We start from the raw sequence: 19783 nt of genomic DNA on the forward strand, positions 1-19783 counted from the left end.
AAGGCCTGGGTTGTAATTTCATCTTTGCCACTGCTCTCTTTGTGATCTTTCTACTTTTGACCTCTATGAGATCTACGAGGACTTCCTGTACTGTAAAGTTCTAGGATTCTCTAAAATGCATCAGTATTTTTCCAAGCTGTATAAATTATCTTGGCTGGGGAAAAAGTTTTGTGTCACTATAATGATGGATAGATAGCTCTTGAGTTACAGGATCTGGTGTTAAATTGTCTGGGCTTGAAACTATCTTGTCTGCTTTCAGATGTCTATGACCCGGACATGTGACTTACCCTCTTTTTACGTCAATCTTTTTTATCTAGAAAGAGAGTGACAGTAATACATATCGCTCATAGGCAGCTTATGGGTTAAATGAGGTAATGTATAAAGAACACTCAGAAAAGCAAGTTTTTAATACATCTTAATTCTCATTAAATTTTGCAGGTATCTATTCACTTCCTGGAGCAATAATTTCCTAATCTTCAATTATTTGTTTTAATTGTATATATATATATTTGTAAAGGAATATACTGACTCTGTAGGAGACAAATTATGATAACTGTGGGGTCCTTGAGAGGGAATTCTTTGTATAAGAAGGAGACTAGGGATGAGGCTTCAATTTGGGTTCCAGGAGTGGCATGGAAACTGGTACCCAAATGCATCTTGACCCAGTCATCTTTGCAAAGCTTGTTTACCTTCAGAGAAAGAAAATTGTGTTTGTGAGTTGAAAGGCTATCCTCATTAAAATCTTTTTTTTTTTTTTAATAGAGGCTGCTGGTTGTCTCCAGTATTTAGCCCACCTTGTGTAGTAATAAATTTTTTCCTGGACATGTGGCCTTCTACAATAAACATCACATTTCCAACCCCCTTTGTAGTATAGTGTGGCAAGATGACTACATTTTGAACAACGGGTCTGAACAGAGGTGATGTGTGTAATTGCTACACTTTGTTCTCAAATGCATGTATGGAATGCAAAGGGAATGTATGTGACTTCCCCTTGCCTCTTTTCCCCTTCTTGCTGGCTAGATTATGAATGTCATGGCTGGAACTAGAGGAGTCATCTTGAACTGTGAGATGGAAATCACCTTTTAAGGATGTTTGAGAACAAGATAGAAAAGGCAGTAATAAACTTATCTTGTTTAAGATACTGTAGTTATTTTATTTTATTAGTTAAGCCTATGTCTTAACTAATACAATCTTAATAGTTTGGCGATAAATAAGCCTACGATTGAACCTTCCCCCATTCTTCCCATTCCTAATTGAATATAACCTGCAAGGAGGGAGTATACCTTCTTATTTCCCAATAGATCATTGAGTTTGGAGGGCATGGAGAGAGAATCTAGACCCTAGGACATGAAAGACAGCAGGTATGTGCTTCTCAGGAGAAAGATCCATGCTGATTCAATACAGTATTAATTTATTATTCATTATTTAGTAATGAATAATAAATTGTATCAGTTACAATTTATCATTGTAACTGAGTATACAAGTTAGCTTTGGATGTGCTAATGGCAAATATAAAAAATGATATTCTGTATAGTGATAATTACGTAATAAAAAGAAGAATGCTAGCTTCTTAGACGTGAACTGATTAGAATTTGTGTTAGGAATCTTTATATGATAGGCATTGAGTGATGAAATAAACCATTTTTCTCTAGCAATTTTATATATAAGTAATTGTTTTTCTATCATGAGCATTCTACTTCAAATATGAAGCTTTTGAAGAGTAATCCTGTATTACTTCACTCAATGAAAATTCCACATCATATGATGTTAAAAGGCCAGTTTTCTTTCCTGAAATTAACTTTAGCAATGCTAATTATGATTATTTTCATTTATAAACTTAAAACTCTCAGGAAGCTATTGTATGTCTCAGCATAAACATCTCTTGTGCCAACAATGAAAGAGCAGCTTTTATTTTTTAAAAAAATAGAAATTAAGAGAAAAGAAAAAATATGTGCCAGATATTTTGGGGGGCCCTTAAGATTCTGGGTAAATAACATAAATAAAATCCCTAGCTTCCTAGAGCTGAAAAAGAATAATTTTTATGGGTTTTTTTCTCATTTTTAAAAAACACTTCATTATACCACTTTTCAGGTTTCTCCTTCTTTACTGAAGAAATCTAATTTTTTTTTTAGTTTGATACATCCATACACTCATTTCTTCAGTAGTTTTATTCTGAATCTTCTTTAGATACCATTAATCCTGAACATTGTTAAGAAACATTGCAGGAATGAAAGCACAATAGGTTTATTAAAGTGTAGAATCAAGTGTTCCTATTTTGAAGCAGTAATGTCTAATATTTTATTAGAATTTTGCACACAAATCCCAGCACTTTGGGAGGCCAAGGCGGGTGGATCACTTGATGTCAGGCGTTCGAGACCAGTCTGGCCACATAGTGAAACCTTGTATCCACTAAAAATACAAAAATTAGCCAGGCATGGTGGCAGGCGCCTGTAATCCCAGCTACTCAGGAGGCTGAGGCAGGAGAATCGCTTGAACCTAGGAGGTGGAGGTTGCAGTGAGCCAAGATCATGCCACTGCACTCCAGCCTGGATGACAGAGTAAGACTCTGTCTCCAAAAGAAAAATAAAAATAAAAAATAATTTTGTGCATAGTTTGCTATTCCTGAAATTATAGTAAAATCAGAATAAGAAGGAAGCAAGACAAAGGCACGTTTAGGTAGATCAGAACTTTACTTTAAAAGAACCCAGGGTGAGAGAAACTCTTTATTCAAATCTTGGTTCATGATGGTTCCGTATTTTAACATCTGAAGTTTCTAATACTTTTACTACTTGTAGCGCATGAAGAAGGAGTCTTTTTTGGTTTGGGTGAAGTTTTCACTGTTGCATTTTATTGTTCTCAATTTGACCATCTTACGTGAGTTGTCACATATGTGTTACATCTGAAAATTACAAAGTCCAGTATTATAAAATGTGTGAGTTAAAATGGTAGTATTTTGTTTAAAGCTTTGAGGATCTATTCCACTTGGAGTTCTGTCTCTTTCTACCAAAAAAACTCTTAAATATTGTATTGATTATATATTTTCTTTTAATTTATTTTATTTTGAATTTGGGAAACATTACTTTTTTTTTTTATACACAGCATCATAGGTCATGGTCCCCCATTAGATGGAAATTTGTCCACAAGAGGCTTATTAGAAGTGCCACAGGAAACATCAATAAGGGAATAAGTAAAGCAGAGGGATAATTTGAACTGTGTTGTATTTGCGACGGTGGATACAGTCAATTCTAGTGGAATCTCTAAAATTGGTACGGCCCTTTAGAAATGTCTGATTTGAGACAAAGATCTTTGTTCCTCTGCATCAACCAAACCAAGGATACAGGATTCCCCAATGAAAGGAGCATAACCTTGGATGAGCCAGTTGCCTTTGGCTCGGGACAAGATGAGTCCTTTATTTTTTGTGTGTGTTTTTTTTTAATGTATGTTATGGTCTTATCTAAAATGTTTCATGAAATGGATTAGAATAATCAGAAAGAACAGGTCTTTAGTAGCACCATTTTTTAATCCTATAGATTTTTTGATTTATTACAATCGTTGTGGTTGTTATTGTTATTTGGTTCTAATGGGATATGTGTACTTTGTTTCCATATGACCTGTATATGTATAAGATTAGAACTACAAATTACAGTCTGCTGATCTTTATGGGGCTCATTTTTTTTCTTAACTTTTTATTTATAATTGGCACTTAATAATTGTACATATTTATGGGGTACAGTGTGATGTTTCAATATTTGCAAACATTGTGCAATGATCAAATCAGGGTAATTATCATATGTATCACTTTAAACATTTATCACTTCTTTGTGGTAATAACATTCAAAATCTCTTCTTCTTTTCTTTTTTTTATTATACTTTAAGTTCTAGGGTATGTGTGCACAACATGCAGGTTTGTTACATATGTATACATGTGCCATGTTGGTGTGCTGCACCCATTAACTCGTCATTTACATTAGGTATGTCTCCTAATGCTATCCCTCCCCCTTTCCCTTACCCCACCATAGGCCCCTGTGTGTGGTGTTCCCCACCCTGTGTCCAAGTTTTCTCATTGTTCAATTCCCACCTATGAGTGAGAACATGTGGTGTTTGGTTTTCTGTCCTTGCAATAATTTGCTCAGAATGATGGTTTCCAGCTTCATCCATATCCCTACAAAGGACATGCACTCATCCTTTTTTATGACTGCATGGTATTCCATGGTGTATATGTGCCACATTTTCTTAATCCAGTCTATCATTGTCATACATTTGGGTTGGTTCCAAGTCTTTGCTATTGTGAATAGTGCTGCAATAAACATACGTGTGCATGTGTCTTTATAGCAGCATGATTTATAATCCTTTGGGTATATACCCAGTAATGAGATGGCTGAGTCAAATGGTATTTCTAGTTCTAGATCCTTGAGGAATCACCACACTGTCTTCCACAATGGTTGAACTAGTTTACAGTCCCACCAACAGTGTAAAAGTGTTCCTATTTCTCCACATCCTCTCCAGCACCTGTTGTTTCCTGACTTTTTAATGATAGCCATTCTAACTGGTGTGAGATGGTATCTCATTGTGGTTTTGATTTGCATTTCTCTGATGGCCAGTGATGATCAGCATTTTTTCATGTGTCTGTTGACTGCATAAATGTCTTCTTTTGAGAAATGTCTGTTCATATCCTTCGCCCACTTTTTGATGAGGTTGTTTGACTTTTTTCTTGTAAATTTGTTAAAGTTCTTTGTAGATTCTGGATATTAGCCCTTTGTCAGATGGGTAGATTGCAAAAATTTTCTCCCATTCTGTAGGTTGAGATGGAGTCTCATTCTGTCGCCCAGGCTGGAGTGCAGTGGCACGATCTTGGCTCACTGCAAGCTCTGCCTCCCAGATTCACACCATTCTCCTGCCTCAGCCTCCTGAGTAACTGGGACTACAGGCGCCCGCCACCATGCGTGGCTATTTTATTTTATTTTTTTTGTATTTTTAGTAGAGGCAGGGTTTCACCGTGTTAGACAGGATGGTCTCGATCTCCTGACCTCGTGATCCACCTGCCTCGGCCTCCCAAAATGCTGGGATTACGGGCATGAGCCACCACACCCGGCCCAAAATCTCTTCTATCTTTAAATATATACTACATTGTAATTTGCTGTAGTCACCATACTTTGTATAGAACTTATTCATAGGAGTCATTTTTATATTAAAACTTTGAGCTTGTTATCTGCTTTTTGACTTAATTTGGAATCATAGACATGTATCCCAGGCTCTAAGATTCTAAATTAACTTCAAAAGAGTTAACTGGAATGATTTGCTTTTAAATCTTTCATTTATTTGTTGCTATCTTATAGAGGTGGATTTCACTGCTTGTGCATTTTTGGAAAGTAGTCCATCTCATCATTACATTTATTTGCGGTTCTGATCTAATTTTAATAAATAGCTCAACACTGGTGTTATGAAAATACTTGAAGGTTTTTAAAGGTATAATTGCCTCTTAGGTTAGATATATTTTGTTAGAGTAATTTAGTTGTAGCCTATGGTATTAAGTCTGTTACTTAATGGTTGACATCATCATTATTATTATTTTTTACTAATGAGGCAAGTACTGTCTTGAGTTGCAGATATGAACTTTGCCATAGCACAGTATAATACATTTATTTGTATTTGTGAGTATTATAAACAGCATTTAATGTCCATGTCAATGAATATGGTTTATTTTTATACTGTTTGTTTTATCCTTAAGTTGCAGTGACATTCACTGAAGAAAAAATTATTTTAAATTCTGATTTAATTTTTATTTTCAAGTTGAATTTTTTCTTCATACTAAACTATAAACATTATACTAAACTATAAACATTACTACCTATAGTCAGTGACTTATTATGCTTAAAATTATATGTATATTTAAATTAATACAACATCTTTTCTAGTGAAAGTCACTGTAAGTCAAAATTTTCAGAGTGAGTGTGTATATATGTATTGATATATTGAATACTTTTAAAGCTAACTTATACCATAAAAGATTTAAGCTCATGTCAGAAACACTCTAATAAAAGTGGGGCAAAGAAGAAATAGATAATTCAACCCAAGAGAAATATACAGAATTAATATTTGAAAAGCAGAGAGGGAAGAATGTTCATATGTAGATCACAAGGGTCAATGTGGTACTTGGATATGAACTTTGAACTTGGCTCTGCCTTTTCCAGGAGCCAAACTAGAAAGAGAAAACTGCTCAGTTATATAACATTCATTGTTAGAGTAATAGTATTATTTTCAACGTACAGATGAGGAAACTAAGACACAGAAGTTTATGTAAACTCCTCAGTGGCACATAGCAGCTGGAACCAGGATTTCAACACTGCTAAGCTGACTCCTGTGTCTAAACTCTTAAAATCTTTCTGCAGGATATAGTTTTTAATATCTTCCCAAAATGTTCTTACAGAAAATATAGTACCAAAGTCTAGAGTTGTAGCCGAATTACCATTCTGAAAAATGTTCTTAGTGTATTTAATGCTAATTGAAATCACGCCTTTCTTTTTAATTCTTCCTTAGTAAAGATATAACATATCTAATGTACAAGCTACAAAATTCAGTATGATTGAACGGATTTTGATGTTTAGGAAATGCAGATACACATTTTTTTCACTGATATCCAAACTATTATGTTGACAATTCAACTCATGAATATAGAGAGTGGAAGAATGATTACCATAGGCTGGGAAGGGTAGTGTGGGGAACAGGGGAGGAAGTGGGGATGGTTAATGGGTACAACATAGAGTTACATACAATAAATATCATCTAGTATTTGATAACACAACAGGATAACTTCAGTTAACAAGAATTCATAGTACATTTTAAATACCTAAAAGAGTATAATTGGGTTGTTTGTAACACAAAGAAGGGATAAATGCTTGAGGTGATGAATATCCCATTTACACTGATGTGATCATTATGCCTTGTATGCCTGTGTCAAAATATCTTATATACCCTATAAATATATACACCTACTATGTACCCACACATTTTTAAAATTAAAAAAGCAAATAAACTATTAGGTTGAACATTTGAAATGGCTGGCAAAAAGGTTAACCATTTTTTACTGTATTGCTCAGCCTAATATTAGAAGAGTATCTTAAAATATGATAATATAAAAATATCTTATTTGTTAGTAAGGTCATATGGAGGTTTCTTATAGTAGGTCTTTCAATCCTCTTTTGCCAGTCTATAAGTCTTCTTGAAAATATTTGCCATGATAACCTCTAGAAGGCAACTTGTCCTGGCAAGTCACTCTTTCTTATGAGAGTTTCCTTATTTCTAATGCAGTCTTACTGATATAAGGAAATAAATATACTTAATATGCTTTGTAAACTTCAAAGTGATATGTAAATATGAGAGGGCCCCATTATATATTTTAGTATGTTAAATCAGGTTGTCTTCAAATTCACCAGACTCTTTTCAAATTCTTTCATTCTTAATGACTAGGCTACATTACATGGACACATTATAGCTCCCTATTTCTGCCAGTTCTTCCATATCCAGGCTCGAACTTAATAAATTAAATATGAATTGTAGCTTCATTGTTGTTTCTCTTTCTTCTTTCCCTTTTAAATTTATGCTATCTTGCTGTATTTTAAGAATGTGTGCAAGCCATTTAAATCATATCTGGAACATAGCTTACTATAAATAAATATATTAAATAGAAGTTTTATATAATACTGATCAGTTCCACAGACTACTATGAATATACAATATTGACCTAATTTAAGAACACATGTATTTCCTTTAGTAGCAACATCAATATTGCTTTTTTTTTTTTTTTTTGTAACTCTTAGGCAGGAAATTCTGCTAGGTATTGTCAGGGACATTGTCTTGTGAAATTTTTACTTGAAAGTAATTAATGTAGATAAAATGGACACACATGAAACAGGTAAAGAACATGTCAGTGCTTAAAAGTCATTAGTAGACTTTAAAACATAAGCCTTTAGGAGGACCCGGGATAGTTCAAAGGGTCAAGTTGGTGCAATAGATGTTGAGCACATTTTTTAATGAGGCAACAAATTGATTATGATTATTAGGCAATGATAAGCTTTGCTCCCTGCTTCAACAATTAAAAAGAAGAAACAACATTTTTGGACAGGTGTTTCCCCATGCAATAACAACAGATTAAACCAGATCTGAAGAAAAAATTTGATTTAATTCATTTTTGGCTGGGAAAGGGGCCGAGAAACAGTTAGATCCACAATTTCAGATCTAGTCTTTCTGTTCTGAGGTGGAAGTTTACCTATGGTATGAGCTGCAAAGTAACTGTATAGGTCATTCAACTGTATGAGCTGCAGAGTTGAAAAACTCCCACAGGTACTGTGGGTCTGGATAATAAAGATCTCATCCTGTGGTCAGCTCCTTGTCATTAATATGTAAGCTTTGCAGACTTTTTCCTTTTCATACACCAGATTCCGTTCCACCTGTCTTCTCCTTCCCAGTAAGAACACGAATTAGGGCATCTTAGCCTCTTGTTGTCATTCCTAAATCTATTCATATCATGACTTTCAGATCTGTGTTTAAATAAGCATTTATGTTATTTAAATATAATTGCATGCCATTTCTTTCTCTTTCTGAATTTGGAATACATTTCTGTGCCATTTATATTTTCCCCTCAGGCAACAAATCCTGGCAATAACATGAATTATTGCCGTTCCCTCCTTCACTTACTCGTGTTATAGTGTATTACTGAGCTCAACTGTGTGTCCAACCCTGGGTACGGAACATAATTGGTAGTAGAGCCACTGCCACATGTATCAACTCTGCTCTCTACCAGAGATTGGAAATCACAAAATAATATTGTCTGGAAGTGCAATAGTTGGTTAAATCACACTCTTAAAATTGTGAATGCCCTGATCTCTGAAAAATCATAGCAAAGTAAAAAGATGAAAGAATATACAGTAATTATTTGCTGTTTCCCAGCATTCTGAGACTGTATCTACGGGATTTCACCATGTTGGCCAGGATGGTCTCAATCTCCTGACCTGCCTGGCTCGGCCTCCCAAAGTGCTGGGGTTACAGGTATGAGCCATCACTCCCAGCCCCTCCATAAATGGTTTAAGTATACAATATATTGTTGTTGACTATAGTGGCAATATTGTACAGCAGATCTGTAAAACTTAGTCATCTTGTTTAGCTGAAGCTTTATGCCCCGTGATTAGTAACTACTCAGTTCTCCTCCCCCCAGGTCCTGCTGTTTACCATTCTACTCTTTGATTCTATGAATTTGACTCTTTTGGATACCTCATGTAAGTGGAATCAAGTAGGGATCAGCAAACCTTTTTTGTAAAGGGCCAGATAGGAACTATTTTAGGCTTTGTGTCTGAGAGGCAAAATCACCAATATTTGTATAACAAACAAATTTCCACAATTTTAATGATGAAATTCAAAATAATTGAGTCCAACTTTTTGTACGTAAGTCTACAGATGAGAGTAACTGAGTTCTTTATTCGTGTGGTTAGTGTTTTCCTTAATTATTGGTCAAACATAATGTTCCCTATCATCAAATTGATTGCTAATGTTCATCTGTAAAAGCCATTCTTAGAGCTTATGGGCTGCACAAAACCAGGTGGCAGGCCTGATTTGGCACACAGCTGTGGTTTGCTGACCCTGGTCTTAAAAGGATTAAGAAAGCAGGAGAGCTCTGAGACATTCTGATCAAATTAACACGCCAGCAAGTAACAGTTTAAGTAGCCTCAGGCTAATTTTGAGTTATGGAGTGAGAAGTATAGCTGTAATAGTGTCTGAACATATTTAGATGTAGAGTGCAATTGGAAACAAAATTTGGGAATATGCATGGGTTCCTGATTTCTAAAAGAAGGTTCTTGGATCTACAACTGAATTTCCTTTTGCTTTTTGCACTTGCATGAGTGTTCTGCAAAGGGGCTAGACAGGGTTGACAAATGCCTTCCTATTTGAGTGTTCCCAGATATAGTGGCTGTTTTAGCAGAAGGGAGAGAATACATCAAAGGCAATGCCAAATGATGCTCATCTCAGTTCCTCCCTAGAAGTACATGCTAGCCTGGAAGGGAAATTGACAATAAGAATGGAAATTAACTTTGCCTTTGTATATGCCTAATGTAAAAACAATATGAAGAGGTGAAGGGAAATCCACAGATATTCCCCAGATTCCTTTCTTATAGTTTTTAAAGATCTCAAATTGAGTTATTTGGTAAATACTAGTTTAGGTAAAAGTTAGAATGGAGAGGTGTACAGAAGTCTTAATAGTGATAGGATGCTTATATTCTCCTGCCATGCAATGTTGAACATCTTATGATCCTGGGATGGATAGAGTGTCATTTGCCTGATGCTGTGGCACATTCTAAAAGGTAGGTAGAATGGAGAAATCAGGTCAATAAATGGAATCTAAATATGTCATCAACCAGGACAAAAATACTTAGCTTTTTGAACTAAGTCAGCATCATGGAGAGTCAGAGAGAGGAAGACACAGAGCAATAGTTGAGGAAAGTCAGGTGAAGTGTGGTAGATTTGGTGTTACCTTACGAAGACCTGCATTTCAGTACAATGAATGGTGATTGCCAGACACATTATTTTGTAGGACTCAAGATACTGACCAACTCTGGCAACTTTGCCATATTCTGGTGATGGGGTAGAGAAAAGAACCTGACATAACAGGGAGGCTGTGGAAAAGGAGAAAATGGGGAAAAATGTGGTATCTCAGAGGAAATACAAATAATCTGTAAATCAATTATGAATTTGAGCTCAGTGAAGGCATCCAAGTTTCCAGATGTGGCTTAGGGATCCAGTGCAGAATGGGGAAGGATGGGGGACCTCAATTTTAAGAGTACAAAGGAGCTATAGTAGAGACCCCAAATCCAGAGGTGATTTATGGAAAGTTCAGTCTGAGCATGATGCAAGACCATGTTTTACTCCTGAAGCCTGAGAGGCAGGCTGAGGCAGCTGTCTAGAGACGGTTGACAGTCCCTAACACCCACACGCTGAATGGGGATGGACATACTGATGAGGAGTACAAGAGACAGATTATTATGGATTGCACAAATATCTAGAATAGTTTTGATGTTCTTCATAAGCTAGCTAAAACTATGAGCCCTTGTGAAAAGAGGCAATGTTTGGCTTAGCCTGCCACAGATTTACTTGGCTGGTATTTTGTATCTTGAGTGGAAAATCATATTTTTCCATTTAATTAAATCATTTTTTTTATGATTCAATTTTTGTCTCCTCCCTGAAAAACAAACTTAATCTCAACTTAGCAGCATTAGTTCTTAATATGTATTAGAACAGTACACTTCCATTGATGAAGAACAAGGCAACCAATCTTCACTATATTTGCTTTTCTCTTTATAGCATTAATTGAGAACCCACTAAATACCAGGTGATATACTTGGGTTATAAAGATAAATATGACATGATTTCTGAATAAAATAGCTTTAGAAATTTTGTTAATTATGATATGATCACTACTAGCGAAGAGATACATAAAATTGATGCGGAGGCACAGGGGGATAGTAGCTACCTATTTTTTTCTTTCTGATAGTGTTCAACAATGGCTTATTGACAACTCAAATCATGTTTTAGACCATAAGTGTACTAAAATAATTTATGCTGTGTCTTTATTTTTAAAAAGTATCTGTCTCTAAAACAAAAATCTGATTTGTCCTCTGTAAAACAACGAGCACACTACATAACCTTCTTGGTTATATAACAAACTCTGGTGATATTTATCTATTTGAATTAAGTGCAAAAATTCCTGCTGGGCATTTACTATCGCAGAGTGCATCAGCTTTCATGGCTTGAGAAGTGTTCCTGTTCAAATCAGCTTGATGAGGGGTGAAATAGGACAGGGAAAAAATCCTTAAACATCCACTTGAAAAATGTGGCAAGGAAGGTAAGGACAAACTTTAGTAGTGACTGTGAGTCTAAGGATTTAAGAATAGAGTATTTTTAACCCCTTTTATTGGTTTGTATTAAAATAGAATAATTGTCAAAGGATCTAGTTACCATGGTAACTTACCATATTTCAAGAGCATGTAAGTAAAGTCACTCTTATAAGACCAGAAAATAGTAAACACAATACAGCAGGCTTTTTTTTTCTTTTTTAACATTAACTTTTTTACTATGCAAAAATAATATAAAATTGAGTTTTGGGTGCTGGGAGGAAATGAGAAAAAGAAAGTGTGTTGTAACATATTTGTTTCACTTTTTATGAAGTTTATATTCTTAAAACAATTTTTCTGTCATATAGCAAGCTAACAAGGCCTATTTAAGAATCAAGTACACATATTTCTCATGTAAAAAATGTTGACCTTGTAAATATGCTACAGACATATATATGTGTGTGTGTATATATGCAGTGCTTATATATATAGAATATATATATAATATTATATATTAGCAAAGAATTGTGCTGTTTTACCTGAAGTGTGTGTAAATATATATATATATATATATATATATATATTTATTTATTTATTTATTTATTTATTTATATTTTACTACACACACTGCATGTAAAACAGTTAGCAGAATTCTTTCCCGGAGTAAGCTGTCAGTATACATGAATGTCAATAATTCTCTACTTGCCCGATCTCCTTTTTCTTCTGATTTCTCCTCTCTTTTTGTTTGTTCATCATTCACTTTCTTTCATTATATCTCTGTGTACTTTTTGTAGTCCCCCATATTGCCTCTTAATTTCTTTTTTGTTTGCTTCATTGTTTTCCTTTAAATACTTATGTTTTTCTTAACTAGTTAAAAAATTAGATTAAGTGTGAGCGACTAGCATGAAGCTAGTTCTAGGATAACTTGATGGTCATAAAGCAGCATATTGTTAAAACAGTGTAACTGAGCAGCATTTGATTCTGGATGAGGTAAGGTATAGGAGATATTGGGGAGATGGGTAAGAGAAAGGGATGGTAGGGTGAAATTAGTTCAAAGGAGAAAGGTAAAGGTTATTTGAGGGATAGGAAAGAGACTGCCTGCCATCACCCAGGGTGGAAGTTTCTGTTTTCCCATCTAAGCCAGGAAGCTTAAGACAATCCCTGCTACCAAAATAGTAGAAGGATTTAGCATGAGGCTTTATTCGAGTAAGATAGAATCTTGCAATTTTACCTATGTCATTTCATGAAGTGCATACCTTAGTGCAACAAAAGTTAGAAACAGAAATAGATATACAGTTGGTAAAAATAATTGAAATATTAAAGATATGCACTGGCAGCCTCTTCTTTCTGCCAGATCAAACATTCTCATTGCTTAGCTTAACTTTCTCTGTATTCAAATTATACTAGCTCAGAAAATTAGGTAGTTTAAAAACTCAGATTACAAGTTGTCTGTTCCCATGCATAGGAAGTAAAACTGTCCACCATGAACCTTTGTAGAATATAACATTTTTTCCCTCTTTAGTGGTGGTAGTTTTATGGCAAATGATAGGTTGCCATATTTTCCTTTTTAGTGGTGGTAGTTTGATGGCAAATGACTTAAATTATCCTATTGTTTTACCATGGATAGAGTTGTTTAGGGGGAGTAGCTCAGATCTATAAAAGGATCGTTCGGGGAAGCTTGCTGGCTTCTTCCACACCCTGCAAAGCCCCAGACAGCCAGGGGTCATTGTGACCTAAATGCAGGATGGGCTGTAGTGAGATACAGCATGTCTGGTATCCAGCTTTTAATCCGTAATGCCAGGCACTCCCAAATAAAAGGAACCAATCAACTGATGCATGCATTCTCTAGCAGGTCATTCCAGGTAAGCTACATTTGTGGTGTTTTCCTGTATGAAGTTAGTTGAATCTTCTGATTTCCACCTTCCTGTTTGTATCTTCATTTATTTAGGTAGCTTTGTTTTTGACGTTTTGCCATTGTCACTATCTAAATGATACTTCACAACTCCCTAGATTGGCATGCATTTGATAGAGAAGAACACAAGCAAAAATCACAGAAAGGGAATATCTCCCAAGCAGAATGATAAATTATAAATATTTAATTTGTACAATATATGTAAATATGTAAATATGCTACAAAGCATAATTAATTCATTGACATAACTGCTGAGCTATTGTATACTAAGTTGATGAGACAGTGATACAAGTGTTGTTAATTAGCATGTAATGCATTGAAGACAATGATATCCAACTTGTTAATAGTTAATTAGAGAGCTAATTATAAAGAAGCTCCATTAGAAATTCCCTTTTTGGTTATGTTTGGGCTCTCTTCTCATATTATGAAAAAGTTAGCATGAGTTGCATTTTTTTATCAACAGAGAAAATGAAAATAAAATTTATATGATGATTGTACAATATGTTCTCAAAATCAAAATCCTATGGGTTGCGATCCAGGGAAACTAATGTTGCCCAATTCCTTTCTTAGGCATGATTACACAGAAATATGCTTATCCGGCCATGCCATTTTAGGTAAAGATATTATACAAGTGTTTGGAAAAATTTTCTGTATTTATTACTTATATATAGTTTCTTTAGGAAAACTACCTATAGTTCCTTTGAAGGATATTAAGATAATTTTTCTCCTTGAATTTACATAGTAGTCTTTAAAATTATTTAAGTTTATGGGCTAGCTTTTATCAAGGACTAGTAGGATAACTATCCCTGAATGCTATGGGTGTTAAATAAGAAAAAAACAACAAAATTTACACTCCTTTATAGAGATAATTAAATTAATTAGAATAATATTTGTTGAATCTTATATGACATCAGACTTTATAGCAATTCTTAATAATTTCATTTTTCTGGTTTTGAGAATTTTCCTAATGCAAACCATTGTTCCTTAGACTAAGGTGGTTAAAAGTCTTATAATGTACAATATTGCACTGAAGGATCTTAGAAGAAATTTGAAATATTCAGTTTTCTCTTTCAAGAATATTAACTTTATTTTTTATTAGGAAACATACAGGATTTTATTGGAAATTTTTTTTTTAAGAATTAACTTTTAATTGTATAAGAATTTTTAGGAAAAAATTCACATACTAGAGAAATGACAAAGAAGCAAAAACCTATCCCAAAAGCCATTTACCCCCAAAAAGTAATTAGTAACTTTTGTAAATGTCATTACAGAAACTTTTCTCTATACAAATAAAATGAATAGAATGAGTGGACCTGGGTAATGTCGCTTTACCTTTTAGTGTTTCTGGGTCGTTCTGTCTCAGAGCAGTAGTTTCCCCGAAGTCACAGGCAGATTATTGCTTCCTTGCTTTTGCATCCCCCCTTCATCTCTGGCTGTTTCCACCTTGTGGGGGCTACGGCAACTGCACTCTAGGTGTCAGATAGAAGATAATAGGATAGTTTACCCTGTAATCCATTGTTCCTGCCCTTTTGGAGTGATCTAGAGTTCTGCGGAGAAATTTTCATGTGTTTTCTCTTCATCCACTGAATATATCTTCAAGGAATCAAATTTGGTAATTACAAATCAACCTAATCTTCCACAAGAAATATTTATTGGGTGTCTATTATGTGCTAGGCATTGTTGTAGGGACTTGGAGATATATCAGTAAATTAAGCAGACAACGATTCTAGCTCTGTTGGAGCTTAAAATTTAAAAGGGGAGATGGACATTAAACAATAACCATAATAAATCTGTAAATTATATTGCATTTTAGAAAATGATAAGTACTGTGAAAAAAGAAAGGTGGACTGGCATGAAGGGGATTTGAGTGCTAAGGGAGGGGTAGGGATAAGTGCTATTTTCAGTAGAATAATTGTGGAAAAGATGATACTTGAACAAAGATTTTAAGGCCAGGGAGTTGGCCATGTGACTATCTTTGGGAAAAACATTCTATCCAGTAAAACCACCAGGGAAAAGTTTCCAAAGCAGGAGCGTGCCTGGTATATTCAAGGAAGCTTGTGTGGCTGGAACAGAGGGAGCAAGGAGATGTTTTCACTAGGAGATGAAAACAAAAAGGCAGAAAGAGTCTGTCCGCTGGCTGTTGCAATCCTTGCAAAACTTTTAACTTTTCTCTGAGTGAAATAGGAGACTACTTCAGACTGTTAGGTAGAACAACACATGACACGAATTCCATTTTTAAAGATCATTCTAATATTTGTGTTGAAAATAGCCTGCAGGTAGTGAGAAGTGGCTGGGTGCTGGATATGTGTTGAAAGTATAACAAGGCTTCCTGAGAGATTGGAGTTCAAGGTGAATTTAAGTTTTGTGGCCTGAGCATTTTTAGGTGCCTCCATTAAGATGGAGAAGGCTGCATGTGGGACAGGTTTGGAGATAAATCAGGAGTTCAGGTTTTAACGGGTGGAGATTGAGTTGCTTATTAGACATCCACATAGACATCTTGAATAAGCAATTGTATAAACAATTTAAGAGCTTGTGGCAGAGATCTGAGAGATATAAATTGGGTTGCCATTGGCAAATGGATACTCTTTATTTAAAGCCATAAAACTAATGAGATCACTAAGAGAGATAGAGCAGAGGGTCAAAGATTGAGTCTGGGGCATTCAGCATTAGGAGAATGAGTACCTGCCCCACACACATCTATTGGTTTTTGAATATCTTAAAAGATATTATATTTTTCCTTTTATCTGTTACATTCCAATATTCCTTCTTTGATAATATGTCTATATAAGGGATATAAATGTGATATTCACAGCACCTAATAGAAATGCTCATGTTAGACTTAAGTCTAACAACTGTTTTACACTCTACTGCACCTGAAGTATCCTATTGTATCTTTTTTGTATATATCATTTTATAGATGGAATGTATCTTTTTTGTATATATCATTTTATAGATGGAATTATGAATCTATCTGTACTTAGAAATGTATTATCTGTCACCTTATTTCTATCTCTGACCTTTTTCTTCTCTCCTTACACACTCAGCATAAGTTGGTCCATCATTTTGTTTTCAGCATATTTCTAAAGATTCAGTGAATTTCCAAAGATTGTCTTAAAACAGATCTTTATAATGTAAAATCTTTGCATGTTTGTTGCCTCTATGTATTTAGATGTGAGCCTCAACTGGCCAAGTTAGAGAGGAGAGAAATACAGTTTCTTAAGTCATGTAAGTACGTGTAAAATAAAAAAATTTACATGAAAGATTTTGATTTTCTTGGTAGTTGAAGTGTTTATTGTTTTAGAAATGACATTATATTGAACTAAATATTTTATCAGGACTTTGCAGGGCATAATTATTTTTAAAAGTATGTATCGTGAGGAGTAACATACATGCATCTAAATAATGTAATGAACCAGATTGTAAGGGATATGTAATTGAAATGATTATTTGAACTCACTTTACACGTGTGTGTGTGTGTGTGTGTGTGTGTGTAAAAGCCTATGTGAGGATGCTGTTGTCTATTGCTTTGCTCCAGTCCTCAAAGTCATGAATAGCATTGCAGATTTTGGCAATAATTTATTTACTGAGTATCGTCATGAGGAAGAGTAATATGTTTTGTAAGATATTTTTAAAAAACTTTTTATTTTGAAAGGTTTTTAGTCACAAAGAATTTGTACAGTTAGTAATTGGAATTCTTGTGTACCCAAATTCCTCAAATGTTAATATTTTACCAATTTACTTTATTCTTTCTTACTCTGTAATTGTTTTATCAAAACATTGATAGTAATTTGTATACATGATGCCCCTTTAACTCTTAACTATGTTTGTGTACATTTTCCATAGAATAATGACTTTCACTTACATATAACAACAACACACTTAACCAAGAGTAAGAAATTAACACTTCCTGGGTGCAGTGGTTTATGCCTGCAATCCCAGCACTTTGGGAGGCCAAAGCGGGAGGATCGCTTGAGCTCGAGAGTTCAAAATCAGCCTGGCCAACATGGTGAAATCACGTCTGTACTAAAAATACAAAAATTATCCAGGTGTGGTGGCTCACTCCTGTAATCCCAGCTATTTGGGAGGCTGAAGCATGGGAATTGCTTGAGTCTGGGAGGCGGAGGTTGCAGTGAGCCAAGATTGTGCCACTGTACTCAGCCCGAGTGACAGAGTGAGATCCTGTCAAAAAACAAACAAACAAAAAACTTGGCCAGGCACGATGGCTCACTCCTGTAATCCCAGCACTTTGGGAGGCCGAGACAAGAGGATGTCTTGAGCCCAGGAGTTCAAGACCAGCCTGGGCAATATAGTGAGATTCCATCTCTATTTTAATAAAAGAAATAAATTATTTAAAAAGAAATGAACACTTATACAATGGTATTATGTAGTCTATAGACCTTTGCCGAATTTCACCAATTATCTCATGTTTAGTCACTAACCACACATCATTTACTTTCATTAAGTGACCAACCTTGTTTATAAAATATCACATCAACTAGTGCTGGTGTTTAGTTACAGAATTGTGATAGTTGGCATAGTTAGTTAGCAAATGACATTGTGTGTGTAACCTCTCTGTGATCAGCAGAGTGAGAGTTCTTACTGCTTGGATCTCCTTAGTAACCAATTGATTTAAATATTAGTGATGCACTGATTCCCATAATGCTGGGACTCTAGCAATAGAATTCACAAGTAATTCATCTATGGAAGCAGTAGTCATCTATAAACCTCAGCTGCAAAAATTTGTGCTGGTTGTAGTCACCTCTTTTTTAGTGCTACAATATTGCACATATTTTCTATTACAATAAACTTTATAAAGTTACTTTATTTTTCCAGTTAAATATTTGACACTATCTAGTTCAAAGACTCCTACAGATGAAATGTCCAAAAATGTCTCTTTTTTTTAAAAGTTAAGTACACATATACATTGTATAGTTTACACAAAACATATGTGAATGAATGAAGAGAAAACATGTTCATGAGAAAGGATGGCAGTTTTGTTATGTGGAAAAAGGTGTGATATATGTTTACATTTTAGTACATCTACCTCTGTCCTCATTGGGCACTGATGAATTAAGTCAGAATACTAGGATGACCTATTGTCTGCCTTTGATCCACTAATATAGTTCCCTTTGTTTAAGATTTACTTAGATTAATGTTTTTAATCTGAGCAATTAGCACTGTAATGTGATTGATAATTATTTGATTCAAATATAATTTTAAAAATACACATCATGGAATACTATGCAACCATAAAAAAGAACAAGATCGTGTCTTTTGTGGCAGCATGTGTAGAGCTGGAGGCTACTATCCTTAGCTGATTAGCACAGGAACAGAAAACCAAATACTGCATTTTCTCACTTATAAGCGGGAGCTAAATGTTGAGAACTCATGAACACAAAGGAGGGAACAATACACTGGAATCTACTTTAGGATGGAGGGCGAGAGGAGGGAGAGAAACAGAAAAAATAACTATTGGGTACTAGGCTTAATACCTGGGTCATGGAATAATCTGTACAACAAACCCTCAAGACATGAGTTTATCTATATAACAAACCCGCACATGTACCCCTGAACCTAAAATAAAAGTTAAAATGTTAACCATATAAAAATCCCAGAAGAACATTCATTTATGAATTGAATTTGAATACATGGAAAATTACAAGTATATTCGTTTTACTAAATTAACTCTTAAAATAAAACTTTCCCTAATATGTTTGGGCATATATTTAGCACTTTTGGAAGAGGTGTTATTAACTAGACTAGGGTATAATGTTACATTTGCTTAATTTGCCACCATATAAAATTCCTCAATTACTACAGTACACATGTTGCATACCAGGCAAAACTCAGTGAATCTCCAGCAAGTATTGCACAAATGTTACCCATACCAATATAAAAATATTTTATTCATTGTACTAGTGGTTATTATTATATTGGAAGCTTCCCCCGCCCCCGACCCCCACACCAATTGCTATTAAGCTAAATGAGCTGT

At 34.7% G+C, this 19783-nt stretch overlaps 1 protein-coding gene across 6 annotated transcripts in view; it reads left to right on the top strand.

The window, feature by feature from the left end:
* Positions 1–19783, top strand: part of PRR16 (proline rich 16) — a 330317-nt gene that overhangs the window by 53544 nt on the left and 256990 nt on the right. Inside the window, 1 exon segment of one of the 6 annotated variants that reach the window (NM_001308088.1) lies at positions 13643–13741. The exons of the other annotated variants lie outside the window; for them this stretch is intronic. The gene's annotated coding sequence lies outside the window, so the exon portion shown is untranslated. 6 annotated transcript variants of the gene reach the window in all.

Source organism: Homo sapiens, chromosome 5, assembly GCF_000001405.40.
Source record: "Homo sapiens chromosome 5, GRCh38.p14 Primary Assembly".
Taxonomy (NCBI): domain Eukaryota; kingdom Metazoa; phylum Chordata; class Mammalia; order Primates; family Hominidae; genus Homo; species Homo sapiens.